The 22106-nt window shown below is 43.2% G+C and overlaps 1 long non-coding RNA gene across 1 annotated transcript in view; it reads left to right on the top strand.

The window, feature by feature from the left end:
- Nucleotides 1-10275: 10275 nt before the first annotated feature.
- The window catches only part of LOC105371509 (uncharacterized), a 32601-nt gene continuing 20770 nt past the window's right edge, over nucleotides 10276-22106 (top strand). Inside the window, exons 1-2 of the long non-coding RNA XR_934188.3 lie at nucleotides 10276-10457; nucleotides 10950-11019. This is a non-coding gene — a long non-coding RNA (uncharacterized LOC105371509). The remainder of the gene's footprint in view (nucleotides 10458-10949; nucleotides 11020-22106) is intronic.

The raw sequence follows: 22106 nt of genomic DNA, 5'->3' as shown, positions 1-22106 counted from the left end.
GACAATTTGTTGTCAAAGTGACCAAGTTCACTTTGGGTATGTTACAGAAAAAAAAGCTATTTCCTCGTGTCTAAATCTCATTAAAAAAGCAATTTTGCAATCAATTACAATACAATTTAGCCACTAACTGCCTATATTATACATATATATATATATATATATATATATATATATATATATATAGACAGAGAGAGAGAGAGAGAGAGAGAGAGAAGCAGAAGCAAGTTTGTTTTTCCTGCCCTCATATTTATGAGCCACACTGGAAGAGTTTGTCTTTGGAGGAGCTCTTTGGAGCAGAATGAGTGGCCAGCTCGGCCCAATGACACTGAAAGTTAAACTTTCCAAGCCAATATATTATGTTAGCCCAAGGAGGTGGTATCATTCTGAGCATGGGAGCGGGACAGATTCATTTTTATACAAGAGTTCAGACCTTTCTTGTTCGGTCGTGCACTATAAAAATTGTATAACTCTATGTGGCTTTTATTAAAGGAACATTATTTCTATAAATTATTTTTTAATGCTGTGGAGGAATTTGCCTTCTGGAACCATCTCAGTAAAAGAATTGGGGGTGAAACAGAGACTCGAGTCTACAGAGTGCAGGAGAAATCAAGGCTTGGAGAGAGAAGTGGAGAAGGCTGCCTCTAGGCAGGGCTGCTTTCCCCACAGAGGAGAGGATGTGGGATGTGGAGGGAGGAAGGGGCATCTGGAGCCATGGAGTGGGGAGGGCTGATGCAGCCCCTGCACATCCCTTGCCCGGAGGAAGAGGGGACCAGCTTCCCTCCGGGCTCTGTCCACTGCTCCTTCTGTCCTGGTTCTTGTCCCTGGCAAAGTGCATGGGGCACTGGTTGCCACTGAAGCAGAAGCCCTGGCCGCCGCTGCTGACTCCCTTCCTGCCACCTCCTCTCCAGGCCCATTCCAACCCCTGGATCCTTGGGCTGCTCTCCTCTGCTCTCTGATCCATGCTTGACTCACTCCTTCTGCTCTCGGTGCCTGCCTCCCAGTATCTGTGCCACAGCCATGAGAAACACCCACTGTGGTCCTCTGTCCCAGGGTCTCCCCTTCTGGCCAGGGTAGGGGTGCTAGAGACAGAGGGCCCAAACCTGGATCTTTGGAAATATTCAAGGGACATTTATTTTTGCTTTTTTTTCTGCCTGTCTGGTATCACAAGACACAAAGATATGGCTGTAGCGGGTGTCTTTTTGGCATCAAGTGGCAGAGTGGTTTTGGCAGATCTGCTGTTTGCAGAAGACAAATTGCTAACGTCAGTCTTTTTGTTCTTAAAAATGTCTACATTCATGTTGCATGTGGGCAGGAAGGTGCCTTCACATCATGAAGGGGAATGATGCATTTCAGCCACAGCATGCTGAGAGCTGGATGCCCACAATGCTTCAGCCATGGGTTATGTTCATGGAAATCTTTAAACTTCACATCAAGAAACTCTGCTGTCTGCCCTTGAACTGAGTCTCCACTGTGGCCCCAGTGTGAGCCCAGATTCTGGCTATAGGCTGAGGGCTGATCCTAGGGGTGGGCTGAGTTCTGACCCTATTTCCGGAATGAGCTCTGGCCCTGGCCCAAGACAAAGGTCCAGGTCCAAAGGCAAACCCCGGACTGAGCTCAGGTTTTTGCACGGCCTGAGTTGTGGGCCAGCTGCAGCTGAGGCTCCTCCATCTCACAGGCATATGCCATCATCACAGGGAAGCCCCAGAAGAACATGGCTTCATCCACTGGGACATGACTTGCCCCCAGGTCCTCTGCCTGTGAAGCCTGGATCCTCCTACAAGTGGAGGAAAGAGGACGGAAGCTTCCAAATCCTAAGTGTTGTAATGAAAATGTGTGGAAGGAGGCCTGGAGAGGACGAAGACATTATCTCCAGGGAGAAAGCCATAAAAAAAAGATGATGATAATGATGTTGATGATGATGATAATGATGTTGATGATGATGATAATGATGTTGATGATGATGATAATGATGATGGCTATTACTTACATGGTGCCTACGGTGTGCCAGGTTTGGCCCATATCATTTTCTAGAATCCTCACAAGCAACTCTGTAAAGTTGATACTCTTATTTCCTCCATGTTACAGAGGGATACAATGGCTTGATCAGCGTCTTTCAGTGCCTCAGGCAATACTCAAACCTGGGTCTTTCTAACTTCATATTAGATGCTGTCAACCCCATGCTGCTACCTGAGAATGCCTTTATGCAGACAAATGACGTGGTTGTATTTGCACCTTAGGAAGATCATCTGGGTTGCTGGTGCTCAAGCTGGGTAGATTAGAGGGGGATAGAAGGGAGACAGGGAGGCAGGTGAGGAGGCTGCTGCAGAGTCCAGCCCCCTGTGGATGCAGCAAGGAATCAGAAAAGCAAAGGAGCCAGTGCCCCTGAGTCTGCCTGCTTGAACTGGTCCCAGGATGCGATGCTTCAAGTGGAAAAGGCTGTGAGATCCACACGGAGGCCTGGTGGTGGGTCCTCGGCCTCCGCTTCTTCCACCCTGACAGGGCATATCTAGATGCTGGGCTGGCCTTGACCACTCTGTTTTCACTTTCTCTAATTCCCAATCAGCCTGGCTCTGGGCCATGTGGCAGACAGAACACATAATTATGTATTGATTTCCTTCCAAAGATGCCTGGCCTTGAGTTAACGTGCACTTTCGTGGCCCTACGTACGCACGATCTGAGGAATAAGAGGGTTGGATTTGGAGGGGAAGTCAGAGGAGCCTGGCTCCGGGGTGAGCAGGGGGCACAAGAGGGAAGGCTGCCATTGTCTGTGCTTTGCGGCTGCAGGGAGCAGGGCCTGGTGGCTTCTGGGGGATCCCAATGTGGCCGGAGGCTGGATGGGCGGGTTGGCCATTGGTGGGGGAAAAGGAAACCTACTCCTACCCTTGATCTTTGATAAAGTGAATAGAGAGCCTGTGGGTTGATTTGTCCATCTATCTATCCCTCCATGGTTAGTGCAGTTTTCTTTGAATTCCCCCAGGTGATTCAATTTCATGGTGCTTTGCCAGATGGCATATTCTCCCACTTCCCCAGTCCTCCAGGGACTGTCTGAAATACAGGCCAAGGGCTCTTACCTCAAAATTATATTGAAGTGTTTAATTAACAGAAATGGCTCGGCAACCCATAGATCACACTCTAACTGCACATACCACATGCACACACAGACAGGCCCTCGGCTGAATCCCTTTGCCTCTGGAGACCCGATCACGTCATGCACAGCCATCACATCGAGCTGTGACCTTCCCTCCTTCCTCATGTAAAACTCGCGGTGGCGGGTGCAGCTTTAAAATACTAAATCTTGTGGTATTCCTTGGCCCAGAATCTCTCCACAAAGGCACTAAATTTGTTCATCTTTAAAGTCCAACAGAAGCAATTTCCCCCAAGTTAGCTCCAAAATCTTGGAGTTGGGCAGGGAACTGCCAGCTTCCTATCCTCATGCCCTCAAGGACTGGATCTGCAAGCCCTCGGTAGGGTGGGTTGCCTGGCCTGCCCTCTCCCTGAGGGGCCATAAGACTGAGTCTTGCGTTATTCTGATGTGAGTCAGAAACACTGGGCCATTCACGTCGTGTGTCTGCTGGGAACTCTATCTGCTTCTTTCATTAGTCTTCTCCTGAGCGCCTCCTCTGTTGTACTTCCTTTTCTCTCTGGAACCTCACTGGTGGTTCTCTTGGGTGGTGCTTTTTCTCTGCTGATGCACTGGGGGGAAGTGATCATGCATTATATATCTACATAGGTCTATATCTCTGTTATAACAGCCCCCCATCTGATGATTCTCAACTGGTGGTATGGCCCCCTAGGGAACAACTCAAACTTTAGAGTGTGGCTTTGGTTAAACCAAAGATGGTGGGGTGCCTGGTTTCCTGAAATGTTCTCAACAAATTATCCCTTGTCCTGCTGGATTTCAAATGTCCAGCCAGATATTCTTGTTGGTGTATTCTTGTTCATGCTTATCTGAAACTAGAGCATAAGAACTTTTTGGCACCGTTTTTAACCCATACTGAATAGTGGAGGAATACAGCTGTGGTATAAATCAAGGGAATTTTATATTTTGTTTTGTTCTGAACATTACCAATAGCTCTTCACCATTTTGGAGATCATTACTGAAGATAATGATGTTCATAATATGAGTCACCAGGATAACATTCCTGTGTCACGCTGTGTGTGTCACTCTGCATATAAATATAAGAGGCTGATTACTTCATGATGTCTTCTAGTGCGATTATGCCGAAGCATTTACATATTGAAATACATATTGTTTTATTATAAATGATTTACCTTCCATACCTCTTTTATATTATGGTTAGTGAATGCTTTTATGTTTTTAAGCATTTACATTTAGGTTAGCTCTATTTTCCATGTTTTCATTTTAAGGATAATAAAGGGTATGTATTCATTCATTCTTGCATTGCTGTAAAGAAATACCTGAGAGGCCGAGTGTAATCACAGCACTTTGGGAGGCTGAGGCGGGTGGATCATGAGGTCAGGAGTTCAAGACCAGCCTGGCCAAGATTGTGAAACCCCGTCTCTAATAATAATGCAAAAATTAGCCAGGGGCAGTAGCAGGTGCCTGTAATCCCAGCTACTCGGGAAGCTGAGGCAGGAGAATCGCTTGAATCTGGGGAGACGGAGGTTGCAGTGAGCTGAGATCGCACCGTGCACTCCAGCCTGGGTGACAGAGTGAAACTCCATCTCAAAAAAAAAAAAAAAAAAAAAAAAGGAAACAAAGAAAGAAAGAAAGAACTGAGAGTGGGTAATTTATAAAGAGGCTTGTTCATGGCTCTGCAGGCTGTACAGGAAGCATGATGCTGGTATCTGCTCAGCTTCTGGAGAGGCCTCAGGAAACTTACCATCATGCCAGAGTGTGAAGAGGGAGCAGGCATATCACATGACCAGAGCAGGAGCAAGAGAGAGAGAGAGCAAGAGGACCATCTTTGCTCCACTCCCGTGATGCAATTACCTTCCACCAAGCCCCACCTCCAATACTGGGGATTACAATTCAACATGAGATTTGGGCGGGGGCACATATCCAAACTGTATCAGGGTGCTATGGTAGATTGTTTGATGGCCACAAAATCCTGTTTGCCCTGTATGCACATCCCTTTGCAATGTGACTTTTTAACTCCTTTCATTCAGAGATAAAGTCTATTTTGTGACTAGTGAATAACAGATTATGGCAGAAGGGATGCATTAGTCAGGATTCTCCAGAGAAACAGAACCAACAGAAGACTACACACACACACACACACACACACACACACACACACACACACGGATAGTCCCCTATTTATGATGGACACACACACACGCAGATGGTCCCCTATTTATGACAGACAGACACACACACACGCTGATGTTCCCTTATTTATGATGGACACACACACACAGACACACACACATAGACATACACAGACACAGAGGGATGGTATTCTATTTATGATGGTTTGACTTTATGACGGGATATAACCCCATTGTGAGTCAAGGAGCATCTGGACTTAATGATGGCTTGACTTTCAATTTTTTGACATTGCAATGGGTTTATAGGGGTATGATATTTTCTACTTACAATGAGTTTATCAGGATGTAGCTTCATTGTAAGTTAAGGAGTATCTGTATATGTGTGTATGTGATATATATAATTAATATTAATTGGGTAATATAATTAATTATATATATTCTCTATATACATACATACATACATACATATATTTATATGTGTGTGTGTGTGTGTGTGTGTGTGTATGTATATAGTTGGTTTATGCAATTACAGAGACTGACAAGTCCCAAGACTCACAGTTGGCAAGCTGGAGACGCAGGTATCCAAAGGCCTGAGGTGAAGGACGAGTCTGTCATGTTTCTGTTCAAGTCTGAAGACAGGAAAAAGGCAATGTCTCAGCTCAAAGGTAGTCAGGCAGGAGGTATTCCCTCTTACTTGTGGGAGGGTCACACTTTTTGTTCTATTCAGTCCTTCAACTGATTTTATGAGCCCATCCACATTGGAGAGAGCAATCTGCTTTATTCAGTCTATCAATCCAAATGTTGATATCATCCAAAAATACCCTCACAAACACACCCGGAATAATGTTTGGTCAAAATGTCTGGGCATCCTGTAGCCCAGTCAAGTTGACACATAAAATTAACCATCACAAGGGATATTGTATGATTTTCAAGGTTAGGCCTTAAGATGCCTTGAAGCTTCTGTCTTCACCCTCTTGGAATACTGTCTTGAGACCACCATGCAAGGAAGCTGGTCTAGTCTACAGGAGGTTAACTGAGGAGCCCTGGCTGACAGCCTGACCAACTGCCAGACATGTGAGCAAAGCCATCGTGGCTCTGCCATCTGAGAGAGGCTTCATGGGCCCTTGGGCCTTCCATTAGGGTCTCAGGAGGGCTACACTGGAGGAGTGAAGATTGTGTCCCAGGACTAGGGATTTGCTCTCAGATGAAGGGCAAAACTGAAACAGACCTGCTCTAATAATACAAAACCAAGCCTCTAAGAGTTCAAGGTGATTATCTAGTAATTTAACTTCATATTACAACAAAAATCAGCACTCATCATGGAAAAATATACAGAATCCAAAGTCTATCTACAATGTATTATCCACAATAATCAGTATACAATTAAAAATGGGTAGATACGAAGTAACAGAAAAATGTGATTATTGGCAAAAGAAAAAAGTTGATAGGAACAGATCTCAAAATGACCCACATGTTGGAATTAGTTGACAAAATCTTTATAAACAAGCTAATAAAATACATATGGACTTGATCATAATGATGAGCAGATGGAGAAAAGAAGATAAAAGCAAGCCCAAAGAAAATTCCAGAATTGAAGAGTAAAATATCTAAAATGAAAAATTTACTAATGGGTTTAATATCTCACTAAAGATAGCAAAAGAAAGGGTGAGTGAAATGGAAGACACATCAAATCATCCAATCTGTAGAGAAAAAAGTTAATTGAAATAAAATTGAACATGGTCTTAGCAATTTGTGAGACAATATCAAGTGGCTTATCATATGTTTAGTTAGAGTCCCAGAAAAAAGAGAAAGAGAGTTGGACAGAGAAAATATATGGATGCTATGGTAGCATCCTAATTTTTCCCAAATTTCATGAAGACATAAACTTACAGATTCAAGAAACTCAGCCAACCCCATGGCTGAATACATACAAAGAAAACTGTACTTAGGCACATCATCATCAAACTACTGAAAAGCAAAGAAAGAGAAAAACGTGAAAGCAGAGAGAAAAATACTTTACATGCAGAGAACAATGATACAAATGATAGCTGACTTGCCATCAAAAACAATGGAGATCGTAAGACAATGGAATGGCACCTTTAACACACTGAAAGAAAAAAAGCAGCCAACTCAAAATTCAATATTCTGTGAAAAACACTCTTTTCATATCAAAAACGAAGGCAATATCAAGACATTTTCAGATAAACAAAAGCTGAGCAGACATGCAACACAAAATGCTAGAGGCAGTTCTTCAAGATAAAGGGAAATGGCACCAGGGGAAACTCAGATATAAGAGAAAGAATAAAGAACATTAGCAATGGCAAAATGTAGGTAAATATCAAAAACAATGTTTTTTTTTCTTCTTTTGATTCCTTTGGAAGATAATGACTACTTCAAGGAAAAAGAATAGCATTGTATTATAAGGTCTATAATGTATGAAAATAGGAAATATATGACCAGAACAACACAAATGACAGGGAACGAGTAAATGGAGTTACACTGTTGTAAGGTTCTTTAAGGTTCATTGAAAAAATACTTTGGCTACTCCAGCTCTGTTGGTGTCCCAGGCATCCACATAGTGTGAGTGGCGGGGATCAGCTGTAGTGGGAGAGGGAGAAGAGGGCAGGGGGCCAAGGAGTCCCTACAGCAGATCCTCTGCCTGGGACTGAGGTGGTACTTGGGTTTAGGGTAGATCCCCCAAGGAGAGACTACAGGACTGTTCACCTCTTATTGCCCCAGAGAGCAAATAATGTACTACCATTTACTGGTGGAAAGCCATCCCCAGGACTCCTGGTACAGCTAAGAACGCAGCACGAAACCTTTATCTTGTTTGCATCAGCATAACCTGCTTGGAACATGAAATAAAACTTCTCCCCGGCACCTTATCACTAATAGGATCGGGCATTTCAGCAGGGCATGGGGAGCTGCCACGCACACGCTCAGCATGCCTGGGAAGGTGCGGTTGCCAGGCTGCAGCTCAGTTAGCTGTGGAATCTGTCTCCAGGAGAGAAGCTTTCCTATTCAGGAGGGAAAAAATCCTCCGGGGCCACTTCCTTCCCTCTGAGGCAGGCATTTTCTCAGCGTGCCCCACTGTCTGGAGGTCATGAAGGGCGTGGCATCCCCCAGCTGGGTCCTTTTGTCCCCCACCTACAGCTTCAGGTAGGGGCTGGGGCTCCAGCTGCAAAGCCCTGACTCGAGAAAAAGGCACAGGCAGATCCATTTCCAGGCTCCATCGGGCTTTCACCTCCTTCCTCCGGAAGCTTCTCCCATCATAGGTAGCACATACCTCACATGAAATGTGGATTTTTTTTTTTCTTTCTGTAAATAAATTGAAGATGTGGCCGGGCGCGGTGGCTCACGCCTGAAATCCCAGCAGTTTGGGAGGCTGAGGCGGGCTGATCACCTGAGGCCAGGAGATCGAAACCATCCTGACTAACATGGTGAAACCCCGTCTCTACTAAAAATAGAAAAAATTAGCCAGGCGTGGTGGTGCGCACCTCCAATCCCAGATACTCAGGAGGCTGAGGCAGGAGAATCGCTTGAACCCGGGAGGCGGAGGTTGCAGTGAGCCGATATTGCGCCATTGCACTCCAGCCTGAGTGACAGAGCGAAACTCCGTCTCAGAAAAAAAAAAAAAAAAAATTGAAGATGTTTGATAATTTTGCTTTGCTTTTGAAATGATTTGGTCACAGTAACTAGTCTAAGTTAGTGTTGGTCAGCTTTTCTCAGGCACCCTTAGGAATTCTGCAAGGTGACGAAAGCAATTCTAGAACATGGTTTTCAAATGTAAGGACGTGTTCTACGTATTCTACATGTCACCATTCAGGAAGCCAACTTGTCGTACTGTTTTTTGTTTGTGTGTTTGTTTTCCAGACAGAGTCTCACTCTGTTGCCCAGGCTGGAGTGCAAAGGCGTGATCTTGGCTCACTGCAGCCTCTGCCTCCTGGGTTCAAGTGATTCTCCTGCCTCAGCCTCCCAAGTAGCTGAGATTACAGGCATGCACCATCACGTCCAGCTAATTTTTGTATTTTTAGTAGAAACGGGATTTCACCATCTTGGCCATGCTGGTCTCGAACTGCTGACCTCAGGTGATCTGCCCACCTCAGCCTCCCAAAGTGCTGGGATTACAGGTGTGAGCCACCGTGCCTGGCCTCATTGTGTTCTTTTGTAATCTTTAATTGAACATTTTACTAAATATGATTTTGCAGTTTGCTTTTCGTATTTTGGAACCAATTGTTCTTTTTCAGGCCCTACATATTTTATGGGCCCTCACCAGCTCTTCCCCTATCATGCCTGATACTTAAAAAGATCTTTTTTATTATTTATTTATTTATTTATTTTTGGAGAGAGAGTTTCGCTCTGTCGCCCAGGCTGGAGTGCCCAGGCTGGAGTGCAGTGGCACGATCTCGGCTCACTGCAACCTCCACCTCCCAGGTGTAAGCAATTCTGCTGCCTCAGCCTCCCGAGTAGCTGGGATTACAGGCGCCTGCCACCACGCCTGGCTAATTTTTGTATTTTTAGTAGGGACAGGATTTCACCATGTTAGTCAGGCTGGTCTCGAACTCCTGACCTCAGGTGATCCACCCGCCTTGGCCTCCCAAAGTGCTGGGATTACAAGCATGAGCCACCGCGCCTGGCAAAAGATCTTTAATACCTATGGATGAAGCCTGGAGGCCTTCCTGTCTCTTTTCTGCCACTTGTTAACTGTGTGGCCTTGGGCAAGGCCTTGGTCCTTTGGGGGCTTTCTTCCCTCAGTGGGACAGTGGGGAGTGGGATGCAGTAGATACTGTATCCTCCACTGGCAGGTGTTCCTTTTCGGAATAGGCTGGCTGGCAGGTAAAGCCAAAACCAGGTAAGTCTAGATCTTTGACATAGAGTTTCTGGGGTCAGATTCCCCCTACTTGGGAAGTGAAGGGTTAACCAGGCCGGAGTCTGAAGCCGGGAGCTGGGACCTGCCGGGACCTCCCCTCCGTTGCTGAGCAACAGGTGCCTTTTCTGTGCAGTGACTCAGACGGGAGTGGGGTTTGTGAGTGGGCTCCAGCCACACACGACTTCGTGCCTGTGACGTTGGCTCCTCCATCCGCCTCTTTCCTGGAGTGCAGCCTGAGTCACAGCTCGAAACTTCTCCCACCTTCTCCGGGTGGAGGGGGCTTCCCCAGTCTTGGGGTGCGCACCTCAGGCAACGACCCATCCCTCACTCCCCTGTGCTGGGACTGCATGGGAAGGTAAGCAACTAAGTGCTGCAAACAGTGTAGGGGCTGTCAGAGCTGGAGCTTCCCTCCAACCCTCCCAGGGTTCTGAGGGTTCACAAGAGACAGCCCCACTGCTTCGCCCTTGATCTTAGAGCCCAGAATCTCCATCACCCACTACTCTTTCCAACTTTTCTGTGTCCAGCCATGCAGGACTTCCCAACCCAGTCTCCAAACATCTGCTTTCTTGTTCCAAGCTTTTGTGGACACCATTTCCTCTTGCTTTATTCCTCTGGAAATGGCTTTTGGGAATGCTTCCTCCTCCAGCAGCCTCCTCCTTTTCTCTGTGCTCAGCCCTGCCCTGTGTCCCAGCCTCATCTCCTGCCTTGCTGTAAACCTTGGGGCGGCCTCACTGTATCTGCCTTGGAAGGGCTCTCCAGTAGATTCTCTGGGCAGCAGACAGTTGGGTGTGACAGATGCTGCTGCTATTTGCCAAACCTGTTTTTCCTCTTCTTCCTGGCCACACAGCTGGACTACACTCCTCAGCCTCCCTTGAAGTTGCAGTGAACTTATGATGGTTTGTTCTAACCACCGTAATGTGAGTAAAAGTTATGTTATGTGCACTTTCTAGGCTAAGACTTCCCCTTTCCCTTAAAAAAAATCAATGTTATCAACACAGAATTTACATACAATGAAAAGCACCCTTTGAAAATGTACAACTTGTATATCCCCAATACCAGCTTGATGAATACCACTACTAGCACAATCAACCTATTGAACATTTCCGTGACCCCAAAGGGCTTTCTCTTGCTTCACTGTAATAAATCCCTCCCACCCACAGGTGACTGCCTGATCCACTGTATGTTATCGTAGATTAGATTTGCACATTCACGGATTTCATATACATAAAATCATACAACATGAAGTGGTCTGGGCTGGCTACTTTCGCTTCACATGTTTTAAAATGCATTCATGTTGTTGTGTATATCTGTGGTTTTTACCTTTTTAGGCTGGGATTACAGGCACCCGCCACCACGTCCAGCTAATTTTTGTATTTTTAGTAGAGATGGGGTCTTGCCATGTTGGCCAGGCTGGTCTTGAACTCCCGACCTCAGGCGATCTGCTCACCTCAGCCTCCCAAAGTGCTGGGATTACAGGCATAAGCCACCATGCCTGGCCTCTTTGTGGTTTTAATTTGCATTTCCTTGATGACTGATGATGTCAAACATCCTTTCATGCACATCTCCTTTTGTGAGTGTCTTAAAATCTTTTGCCACTGAATTTGGGGGGGGGTCTTATTGAATTCTAGGGGTTCTTTATATACTGTGGATGCAAGTCCTTTGTTTGGTATGTGAATTACAAAAATGTTTTCTTTTTTTTTTATAATTTTATTTTATTTTATTTTATTTATTTATTTTTTTTGTTATTCAGGAGTTCAAATTTATTGGATTTTTACAAAATACATCTTCAGAAACTTTGTAACATCTTCATATATGCCACATATATTAGATGATTTTTAACTTTTTTTTTTTTTAATTATACTTTAAGTTTTAGGGTACATGTGCACATTGTGCAGGTTAGTTACATATGTATACATGTGCCATGCTGGTGCGCTGCACCCACTAACTCGTCATCTAGCATTAGGTATATCTCCCAATGCTATCCCTCCTCCCTCCCCCCACCCCACCACAGTCCCCAGAGTGTGATATTCCCCTTCCTGTGTCCATGTGATCTCATTGTTCAATTCCCACCTATGAGTGAGAATATGCGGTGTTTGGTTTTTTGTTCTTGCGATAGTTTACTGAGAATGATGATTTCCAATTTCATCCATGTCCCTACAAAGGACATGAACTCATCATTTTTTATGGCTGCATAGTATTCCATGGTGTATATGTGCCACATTTTCTTAATCCAGTCTATCATTGTTGGACATTTGGGTTGGTTCCAAGTCTTTGCTATTGTGAATAATGCCGCAATAAATGTTTTCTTTGTGGTTTGGCTTTTCATTTTGTTCATGTTGTGTTTTGAAAAGGAGAAATATTTCATTTCGATGCAGTCCAATTAATTGGCGTGTCAGTTTTTTTCTTTGATGGTGTGTTTTCGTCGTGTCCTGTTCTAAGACATCTTTGTCTGCCCTAAGGTTGCTGGGCTAAAACGTTAAAAAAAGCAGATATGTCCCTCCTGCCTCCTTCTTTTTTTTCTCTCTGACTGGAAGCAGATGACAATAAGGCCTTAGAGAATAGAGAAGCCAGAAGATAAAAGGAGTCTGGGACTGAAAACGCTGCACGAAGGAGGACCACCTTCTCTGGACTAGGTATTTGAGGCAGGAATGAACATCTATTGTGTTTGAGTCATTAACATATTGTGGGTCTATTTGTGATGGTATCTTAGCCTGCCCTGGAACTTACTATTTCTCCAGGTGTGCAGATACTGTGCCCAGGAGTCCCTGCTGAAGGTATTGCCACTGATTGAAGGGCTATCACCATTCAACACTCTTCCTGCTCCTGCACCTAAGCTTTCTCACTTTCCTTCTCTGAAAACCCCAGACAATGAACTCTAAGGCAGATGTGTGCATATCTTTATGGAAGTGTTAAGGTATTAGTATCTCAATGGCACTGGGCTGGGGCTGGGAGGATCAGTGCTATGACTCCCTTGCTCTCTTGTCTACCCAAAGTGAAGAGGGCAAAACCTCCACTCAACCTAGTATTCTTCTTCCTTCTTCTTCCTTCTTCCTTCTCCCTTCTCCCTCTTCCATCCTCCCGCCTCCCTCCTGCTGCTTCTTCTCCTCCTCCTCCTCCCCATTCTCCGCCTCCTCCTCTTCTTCTTCCTCTTCCTCTTTCTCTTCTTCTTCTTCTTCTTCTTCTTTCTTCTTTTTCCTTTCTTTTTGAGATAGGGTCTTGCTGTGTCGCCCAGGCTGGAGTGCAGTGGCACTATCTTGGCTCACTGCAACCTCCGCATCCCAGGTTCAAGAGATTCTCCCACCTCAGCCTCCAAAATAGCTGGGACTACAGGCATGCGCCACCATGCCCAGCTAATTTTTGTATTTTTTAGTAGAGACGAGGTTTCACCATTTGGCCAGGCTGATCTCAAATTCCTGACCTCAAATGATCTGCCCACCTCAGCCTCCCCAAGTGCTGGGATTACAGGCTTCCGCCACCATGCCCGGCTAATTTTTGTATTTTTAGTAGAGACGGAGTTTCACCATGTTGGTCAGGCTGGTCTTGAACTCCTGACCTTGTGATTCACCACCCTCGGTCTCTCAAAGTGCTGGAATTACAAGTGTTAGCGACTGCGCCCGGCTCTTTATCTCTTTTACAATTTATTTTATTTTATTTATTTTTCTTTTTTTGAGATGGAATCTCGCTTTGTCACCCAGGCTGGAGTGCAGTGGCATGATCTTGGCTCACTTCAACCTCCACCTCCTGGGTTCAAGCGGTTCTCCTGCCTCAGCCTGCTGAGTAGCTGGGATTACAGGTGCCTGCTACCACACCCCGCTAACTTTTGAATTTTAGTAGAGACGGGGTTTCATCATGTTGGCCAGACTGGTCTCGAACCCCTGACCTCAAGTGATCTGCCTGCCTCAGCCTCCCAAAGTGCTGGGATTATAGGCTGGAGCCAATGCACCCCGCCAATTTATTTTAAGTTGTTTTTATTAACTATAAGTTGTTTTATGTATGTGAGTAGAAACAAAATAATCTTTATTAATATTTATAAACTAGATAGAAGGTATAAGAAATATTGATACAATGAACACTTTTATACCACCACCTAATATAGGGAAAAAGATTACCAATACCTTCAACATTTCTTCTTTGCCATTATCACTTCCCATTCTCCTCTGTCCCCCTCGTAGGTAACTACTCTCCTGAATTTTATGTTTATCGTTCTCTAGCTTTTCTTTACAATTTTACTACATGCTTGTATCTTTCAATTGTGATATATGGTTTATACCTTCAGTAGCAATGTATGAACATATTGAGGAGTAATTTACATATACATTTCCGCCATTGTGAAGGCATAGTTCGATGATTTTTCGTACATTTATAGAGTTGTGCAACCATCACCACCATCTACTTTTAGAATATTTTCATCTCTCCAAAAAGATTCCTTGTGCTCATTCTCCATCATTCAAAAAGTACATTCCAGCTTCCAGCCTGATAGAGTTTTGGTAGATGGCATACCCAAGGTGCGGTTGAGGTGTCAGCTTGGAGGTGGCCCTCTACAAGGATGGAATGCCGTCTTGTACGACAATTAAAAGGATACATGGGTCCAGAAATCAAGCAGTGGAAGCAGAAGTGGACCCACTATAATTCTCATGGATCCACTGGAGGAATAAGAAGCCTGGCCATTTGGGCCCCAAATGAGACATGTCTGAACAGCCACATATACCCAGGCTAGACTGTGACCGCACTGCCTTCCAGCTTCTTTCTGCCCAATCCTGCTTCTTTCCCCTCTTAACACAAATGTAGGTCTTTAATAAATACCCCACTTGCCAAAAAAGAACACATTGTAGTGGGTATGAAAGATATCTCATTGTGATTTTAATTCGCATTTCCTGAAGAAAATTGATACTGAGCATTTTTCATGTCTTAATGACCATTCATATATCTTCTTTTTTGGAATGTCTTTTCAAATCTTTTGCCCATTTTTAAAGTTGTGCTACTTGTGTTTTTGTTGATTAGTAGGAATTCCTCATATATTTGGAATATGAGTCCTTTGTTAGAGATACACATATTGTGATATTTTTCTCAGTGTGTGGCCGGCCTCCTTGTTCATTTTATTAATGGCATAGTCTGATGAGCAGAAATTTAAATTTTCATTAATTCCATTTGTTAATTTTTTCTTTTATGATGACTGGCTTCTGTGTTCTAAGAAGTCTTTGTGTATCCCAAGTCTCAGAGATATTATTTTATGTTTTCTCTGGAAGATTTCTGGATCTAGCACTATGTTTAGCTTTATGATCTTCTAATACATTTTTGCATATGGAGTGAGGTAGGAGTTGAGATTCTTTGTTTTTAAATAGAACTAGGCAGTTATTCTGACACATTGTAACAAGCCTTTCCTCTCCTTTATTGAATTGGCTTGGCTAAAAATTAATTGACTGTGTGTGGGTCTATTTTTGGACCTTGTATTCTGCTCTCTTCACCTATTCTTACACCAAAATCATACTGATTTCATTGCTGTTACTTTATAGAAAGATTTGATATTAGTTTAAGTCTTCCAACTTTGTCTTTTTTGTTTTGGCTACTCTAGGTACTTTGCATTTCCATATATATTTTAGAACCAACTTGTCAATTCAAAAACTCCTCTTGGAATTTGGGATTGTGATTGATAGATCACTTTGGGGGCAAATGACATCTTAACAATATCAAGTTGTTTAATCCACAAACATGATATATTTCCATTTTAAAAGTCTTTTAAATTTCTCTCAGCAACTGTTTTGTAGTTTTCAGTACAGTGCTTTTGCTCCTTATTAATTAGAATCATACCTAGGTATTTGAGTTTATTAATTTTATTGCAAATGACAATTTAAAAACATTTTATTGCTTGTGCCTGTAATCCTAGCACTTTGGGAGGCCAAGGCAGGAGGATTGCTTGAGCCCAGGAGTTTGACACCAGCCTGGGCAATATGGCACGACCCCGTCTCTACAAAAAATAAAACTAAATAAAATTAGCCCAGCATGGCAGTATGCATCTGTGGTCCCAACTACTCAGGAGACTGAGGTGGGAGGATCACCTGAGCCAGGGAGGTCAAGGCTACAGTGATCCCTGTTTGTGCCACTGCACTTTAGCCTGGGTGACAGAGCAAGATCCTGTCTCAAAAAAAAAAAAAAAAGTTTTTATTTTCCATTTTTTGGTGGCTATTATGTAGAGCAATAATTGATTTTTTAAATATAATGACATTGTATCCTGTAAGATTCATAAATACAATTATTCTAATATATTTGTGAAGATTCCAGAGTATTGCATGAATATAACCACGTTGTCTGTGAATACAGCTTTACTTTTCAATTTCCAATATTTATGACTTTTACTTAGTTTTCTTGTCCTAGTACACTATCTACAGCTTAGTACAATGTTCAAGATATTATCTATTAACATTGTTATTGATCTCATAAGAAAAGCATTCAATGTTTCACAGTTATGTGGGATATTTTTAACTCTAGATATTAATAGATGCCTTCATCAGATTAAGAAAATTCTACTCATAGTTTTTTTGTGTGTGTGTGAGATGGAGTCTCACTCTGTCGCCCCGGCTGGAGTGCAGTGGCACGATCTAGGCTCACTGCAAGCTCCGCCTCCTGGGTTCACACCATTCTCCTGCCTCAGCCTCCCGAGTAGCTGGGACTACAGGCGTCCACCACCACACCCGGCTAATTTTTTGTATTTTTAGTAGAGACAGGGTTTCACCGTGTTAGCCAGGATAGTCTTGATCTCCTGACCTCGTGATCTGCCCACCTCGGCCTCCCAAAGTGCTGGGATTACAGGCGTGAGCCACTGCGCCCGGCCGGCCCCTCATAGTTTTTTTTTTTTTTAACTGTAATGGGTATTGAATTGGCCCAATGTTTTGTCTGAATTATATTATTTTTCTCCTTTATTCAATCAATGTTGTGAATTACATCGATCTTTTTCTCCCTTATTCTGTTAATTTTGTGAATTTCAGATTTTCTCAAAAATTTTTCAACTTGATTTGTTTTATTTTCCAAATGTTAATCAACTTTGCATTACTGTGATAAACACAACTTTGTCAGGTTATATTATACTTCTCTATACTGCTGTTTAATTTGCTAGTAGTTTAACAAGGGTTTAAAAAATCTCTTTAATTACGAGAAATATTGGTCTGTAACAATCTTTTCTAATATCTTTGTCAGTTTTTGATGTCAGGATTATTCTGACTTCATTAAATGAGTTGGAAAATATTTCCTTCTCTTTGACTTTCAGAGTTTGTTTAATACCAATTTATTATATCTTCCTTATATGTTTGATGAAATTCACTGGTAAAGCCACTTGGACTCAGAATTTTCTTTGTGGGAAAGTTGTTGACTATGAATTAAAATTACTTAATAGATGTAGGATGATTTAGATTTATAATTTCATGTATTTCATTTTTGTGATTTATCTTTTCCAAGGAGTTTGTCTGTTTTGTCTAAGTTGTCAATTTATTGACCTAAAGTTGTTCATAATATTTTGTATTGTTTTTTAATAGATATAGGATCTATAGTGATATGCCATATGTAATTTCTCATATTGGTAATATGCGTTTTCTGTTCTTTTTTTCTTTTTTTGGCTTATAAACATCAGAAATTTAATTTCTCATAGTTCTAGAAACAAAGTAGAGTCCAGGATCAATGTGCCATCAGATTGAGTGTCTGGTGAGGGCCCATTTTCTGGTTCATAGATGATCTCCTTTTTTTCTTGGCTAGTCTTCTTCAAAGGGTCTGTCAGTTTTATTAATCTTTTCAAAGAAAAGATTAATTGTCTATCTCATTTCTATATCATCGATTTTCTGTCTTCTTATTGTTTTCCATTTCCTGTTTACACTGAGTTTCATTTGCTCTTCTTTTTTTGTGTCTGAAGGTGGATGCTTAGATCTTTGATTTTGTGCCTTTTTTTCTTTATTAATCTAGGCATTTAAAGATCCAACTTCCCTTCTAATCTCCACTTCAACCATATCCTGCAAATTTTGATATGTGTTGCTTTTATTGTCATTCAGTTTGAAACACTTTCCAATTTCCCTGTGATTTCTTCATTGATCTATGAGTTATTTAAAAGTGTTTTATTTAATTTCCTAATATTTGGTGATTTTCTAGATATCTGTTATTACTTTTTAATTTAATTCCACTATAATAAAATAACTTGTATGATTTCAGTCTTTTAAAAATTTTTGAGACATGCTTTTCAGCCAAGTATATGGCCAATGGATATTCCTTGCTACCTGAAAAAAATGTGATTTCTGCTGTTAGATAGAGAGAGCTATAAATGTCAATTAGGTAAAATTGGTGGATAGTATTAATCAAATCTTCTGTATTCTTACAGGTGTGATGAGTTTGAAAACATATTATGAGGATATATTCTGTTTTGGAGTGGTTGGCTGGTGCAAGTTTATTTGCTGGGAACTTTGTTTTGTTGTAAACACTTAAGGCCATGTATGTCATAATGAGAGTCTGTAGAACTCAACAGGTGAACAGAGACAGCGTGGCTAAGATTATTTGACTTGTTTAATTCAACTAGTTGCTGTGGGCCCACTGTGTGCCTATCCTATTTCTGGGGAGCCCAAGGAGAGAGGATCAGCTTTCACTGGCAGACAGTCTACTGCCCTGTAATTAAGCATGCCTAGTGTCACTTTTCTTTAGAACTGAATATGCTCCGTGAGAGGGGATGTGCTCTGGTGCCTTAGGGAACTTGATTGCCTTGGCACGGAGCATGCCCAGTGGGTAGTACACTTGGAGGGGGACTGAGCATGCTCAGTGGGTTGCTCACCTGTGGACTGAGCATTCTCAGCAGGTAGTTCTCCTGAGTACTGAGCATGTGCAGTGGCTAGCTCAACCAGGGATTAAGTATTATGCATGCTGTTTTTAACTGCTCAGCTCTAATACTCAATGCTGCTGCCCTGTGTGACTGTTGGTGCCCAGAAGTTAAATCACAAAATGTCAGAGTTTTGAGTCATCAAAACCAAACCATTCATTGTACAGATGGGGAACCCACAGCTCAGAGAAGATTGAGGAATTGGTCAAGATCATACAATAAGTCATCGTCAGTGCAGGAATAAGTTGCTGTCCTCTCTCTTCTTCATGGCTTGGCCTACTGCAGTATTTCACTCTTTGGCTGGAACCTCAGGTAATCCACTATGGCAACTTTGCATGGGTGATCACATAAAGAGGATCAAGATGCAAAGATTTTTCTCCTCTGGCTTCTCTTTTCAGACATGCTTCTCCCTTTTCGGGATCCCTGGTAGGAGAAGAGGTGAAAAGAGTGGCGAAGGTCCACGGCCCACTTTGTTTCTTGGTAGCACTGGCTACTCAATGAGTTGTTTCCTTTAAGGACTGACTTATTTAGGGCTAAGGTCAGAGTTTAAGGAAAGCAGCAGAGGGGAACTCTACCCAAGGATTTGTGGTTTAATGGCCCCGAGCAATTGGGAAGGCAAGGAGGAGAGGAAAATCCTCCAGAAGGGAATGAGTAATTGTGTATAGAAATTATATTGAGCTTGTTGCGAAATGTTTGCAAACTGCCACGTATCGGCGGGTGAGCGTGCGTATGTGAGTGTTTTAGTTACAGCAGTTTATTTGGCCTATCTCTCAATGTGTCAGGAAGTGGTGTTGCCACAAGGGTCTGATGGTTTGTGTTTTCTGCTTAAGGAAAATGTAAATTATCTGGCCCATTAATATCTGGGTGCTCTAATCTGTTATTAGAGGAGAAAAGTAAAAATTCTGCACCAAGATGAATGTTTACTTTTAAGGTGATTAATAATGCTCAGCCACTGTGCATTCATCACTCTGCCAGCGGCTTCTGCAGGGAAAGCAGGAAGGAAACAGACTGGAAATACTGTGCACCGCTGCTCAGTGCTCACGCGAATGACACCTTCTGTCATCTCCCTCCTCCAGAACCTTCACTAGCTCCCTATTGCCTTCGTTATAAAGGTCGAACTTGTATCCCTCAGTGAACAGACCATATCCTGCCTGCCTACTGGAGCAACTATGATGTGCCTCTCCCTGCACTGTGGGGGAGGCAGGAGAAGAGGAAGAGGTGCTTCTTCCTAATGGAGAATTTTCTGTTCATTGGGGGGTGATAAGGAAAGCTCCTGGAGAAGCATCAGTGCCCAAGGTAAGTGAGAAATCAGGTGTTAGGCTGATGGGGCGGACTGCAAGAATCATCAGAGCCAAGAGAGGGAGAAGTCTGAGTTGGGTTGGGTTGTCAGGAAATGATTCCTGGAGGAGGTGGGCTGCAGCTGGGCCTTGGGAAATGAAAAATTTGTGGACAGCCCCAATCACAGGTACTGACCATTAAGCACCGACTTTATGCCAAGCACAGTGCTAGGAGCTTCTTGTATATAACTGTGACTCCGCCCCACAGCCCTGCAGGTGGGTATTGTTATCTTGTCTTTGTGGATGAGAAAAACAGGCTCAGACAGCTGAAGACACCTACCTGGTGTCACACAGTGAGTGAGGGGCAGAGCCAGGGTGAACAGGCCAGATTGGGAGGCTCTGAAGGCCGTGAGTCTGAATTCAGTGCTTCTCTCACCATTCTAAGCAGGAGGAACTCTCAGGAAGCAAACGACCTGGACAGAGTGTGTAATAGTAAGTGTGTAGGGTAAGGTACCACATGGGCAGAGGCTGGCCTGCCTGGAAGAAAGGAACCTGGAAGGATGACCCCCTGAAAAGTTATAGCTGGTCCCATCTCAATCTAGATGTAGAGATTCTTCCTTTTTCTGTTTTAATTAAGCTACCTTGTTTCTGGGGGTTAAGAGTTGTTCCTGCCAGAATCTAGTGTGCCCCTCTACTGGGTGCTCCTTCTGCTGGTTTCAAAGCCACCCCTGATTGCGAGTTGCTCCAGGGAGCTTACACTGACCAAAGGGAAGGAGTCTGCCTACAGAACAGTACTAAGAGGCTTCTGCCTTGAGAGCAAACCCTTTATTATGGATAGACCTGCAGATTGCATGTTTTTATAATTTCCCAGAAAGTAAATTTTACGCTCTGCTAAGATCTAAATGAACTGGTGCAAATGCCTGGACTTCCTTCTGCCTCTGGCGAGGTGAGGTCTGCAGGGCTGGAGAATGTGCACGTGGGTCTGAGAGCGAGCTCTGCTCCGGAAGGGGCGAGGGCAGAGCAGTACGTGCGGGACGGAAAATAACTTCTTTTCACCCAGGGTCCTTACGATGATGTCTTTGCTCCTAGGATGAAGGGTATTATTTCTCAATGGGGATCACTTTTGGGAACCTCTGAGCTGGTAAAGGGGCTAATACGAAGGCTTCCATTTGGGCATATGAGAAAGCTTCATCAGGGAGGAGGCATGACCTCGTTGGAAGATCAAAAACTACATCTATAGTTAAAGGGAGATTCTGTCTGGAGTGACTGGGATGAGACATTGTGAGGTCTGGAGATGTGCAGTGGCTGGAACCTGGGGCGTGTGGGGGCAGAGAGAGTACTGAGACCTGGCTGAGGGGTAGGCAGGGCCCCATCATAGAGGCCTTGAATGTAGTCCAAAGGATTTGTCATTTTCCCCCTAGTTTTTTTTTTAACTTTTATTTTCTGAATTATAAAAGTAATACATATTTATCATGGAAAAAAGTTAAAACTTCAGAAACATCTGATAAAATAGAAACTTAGAAGCCTATTATTTCACCATCTAGAATCACTGTTGTTAGCATTTTTGTTTCCTTTGTTATTTTTTCTATAAATTGTTTAGATTCTGAAGGTCGTATTACATATACAATTTTACATGCTTCTCTTTCAGGGTTTTTTTTTTTTTTTTTTTTTTTTTAGATGGAGTCTTGCTCTGTCACCCAGGCTGGAGTGCAGTGGTGCGATCTCATCTCACTGCAAGCTCCACCTCCCGGGGTTCACGCCATTCTCCTGCCTCAGCCTCCCGAGTATCTGGGACTACAGGCGCCCCCCACCACGGGCGGCTAATTTTTTTTTTTTTTTTTGTATTTTTAGTAGAGACGGGGTTTCACTGTGTTAGCCAGGA

This window comes from Homo sapiens, chromosome 17 (assembly GCF_000001405.40).
Source record: "Homo sapiens chromosome 17, GRCh38.p14 Primary Assembly".
Classification (NCBI taxonomy): domain Eukaryota; kingdom Metazoa; phylum Chordata; class Mammalia; order Primates; family Hominidae; genus Homo; species Homo sapiens.
This window is presented reverse-complemented; position numbering and strand designations above follow the sequence as displayed.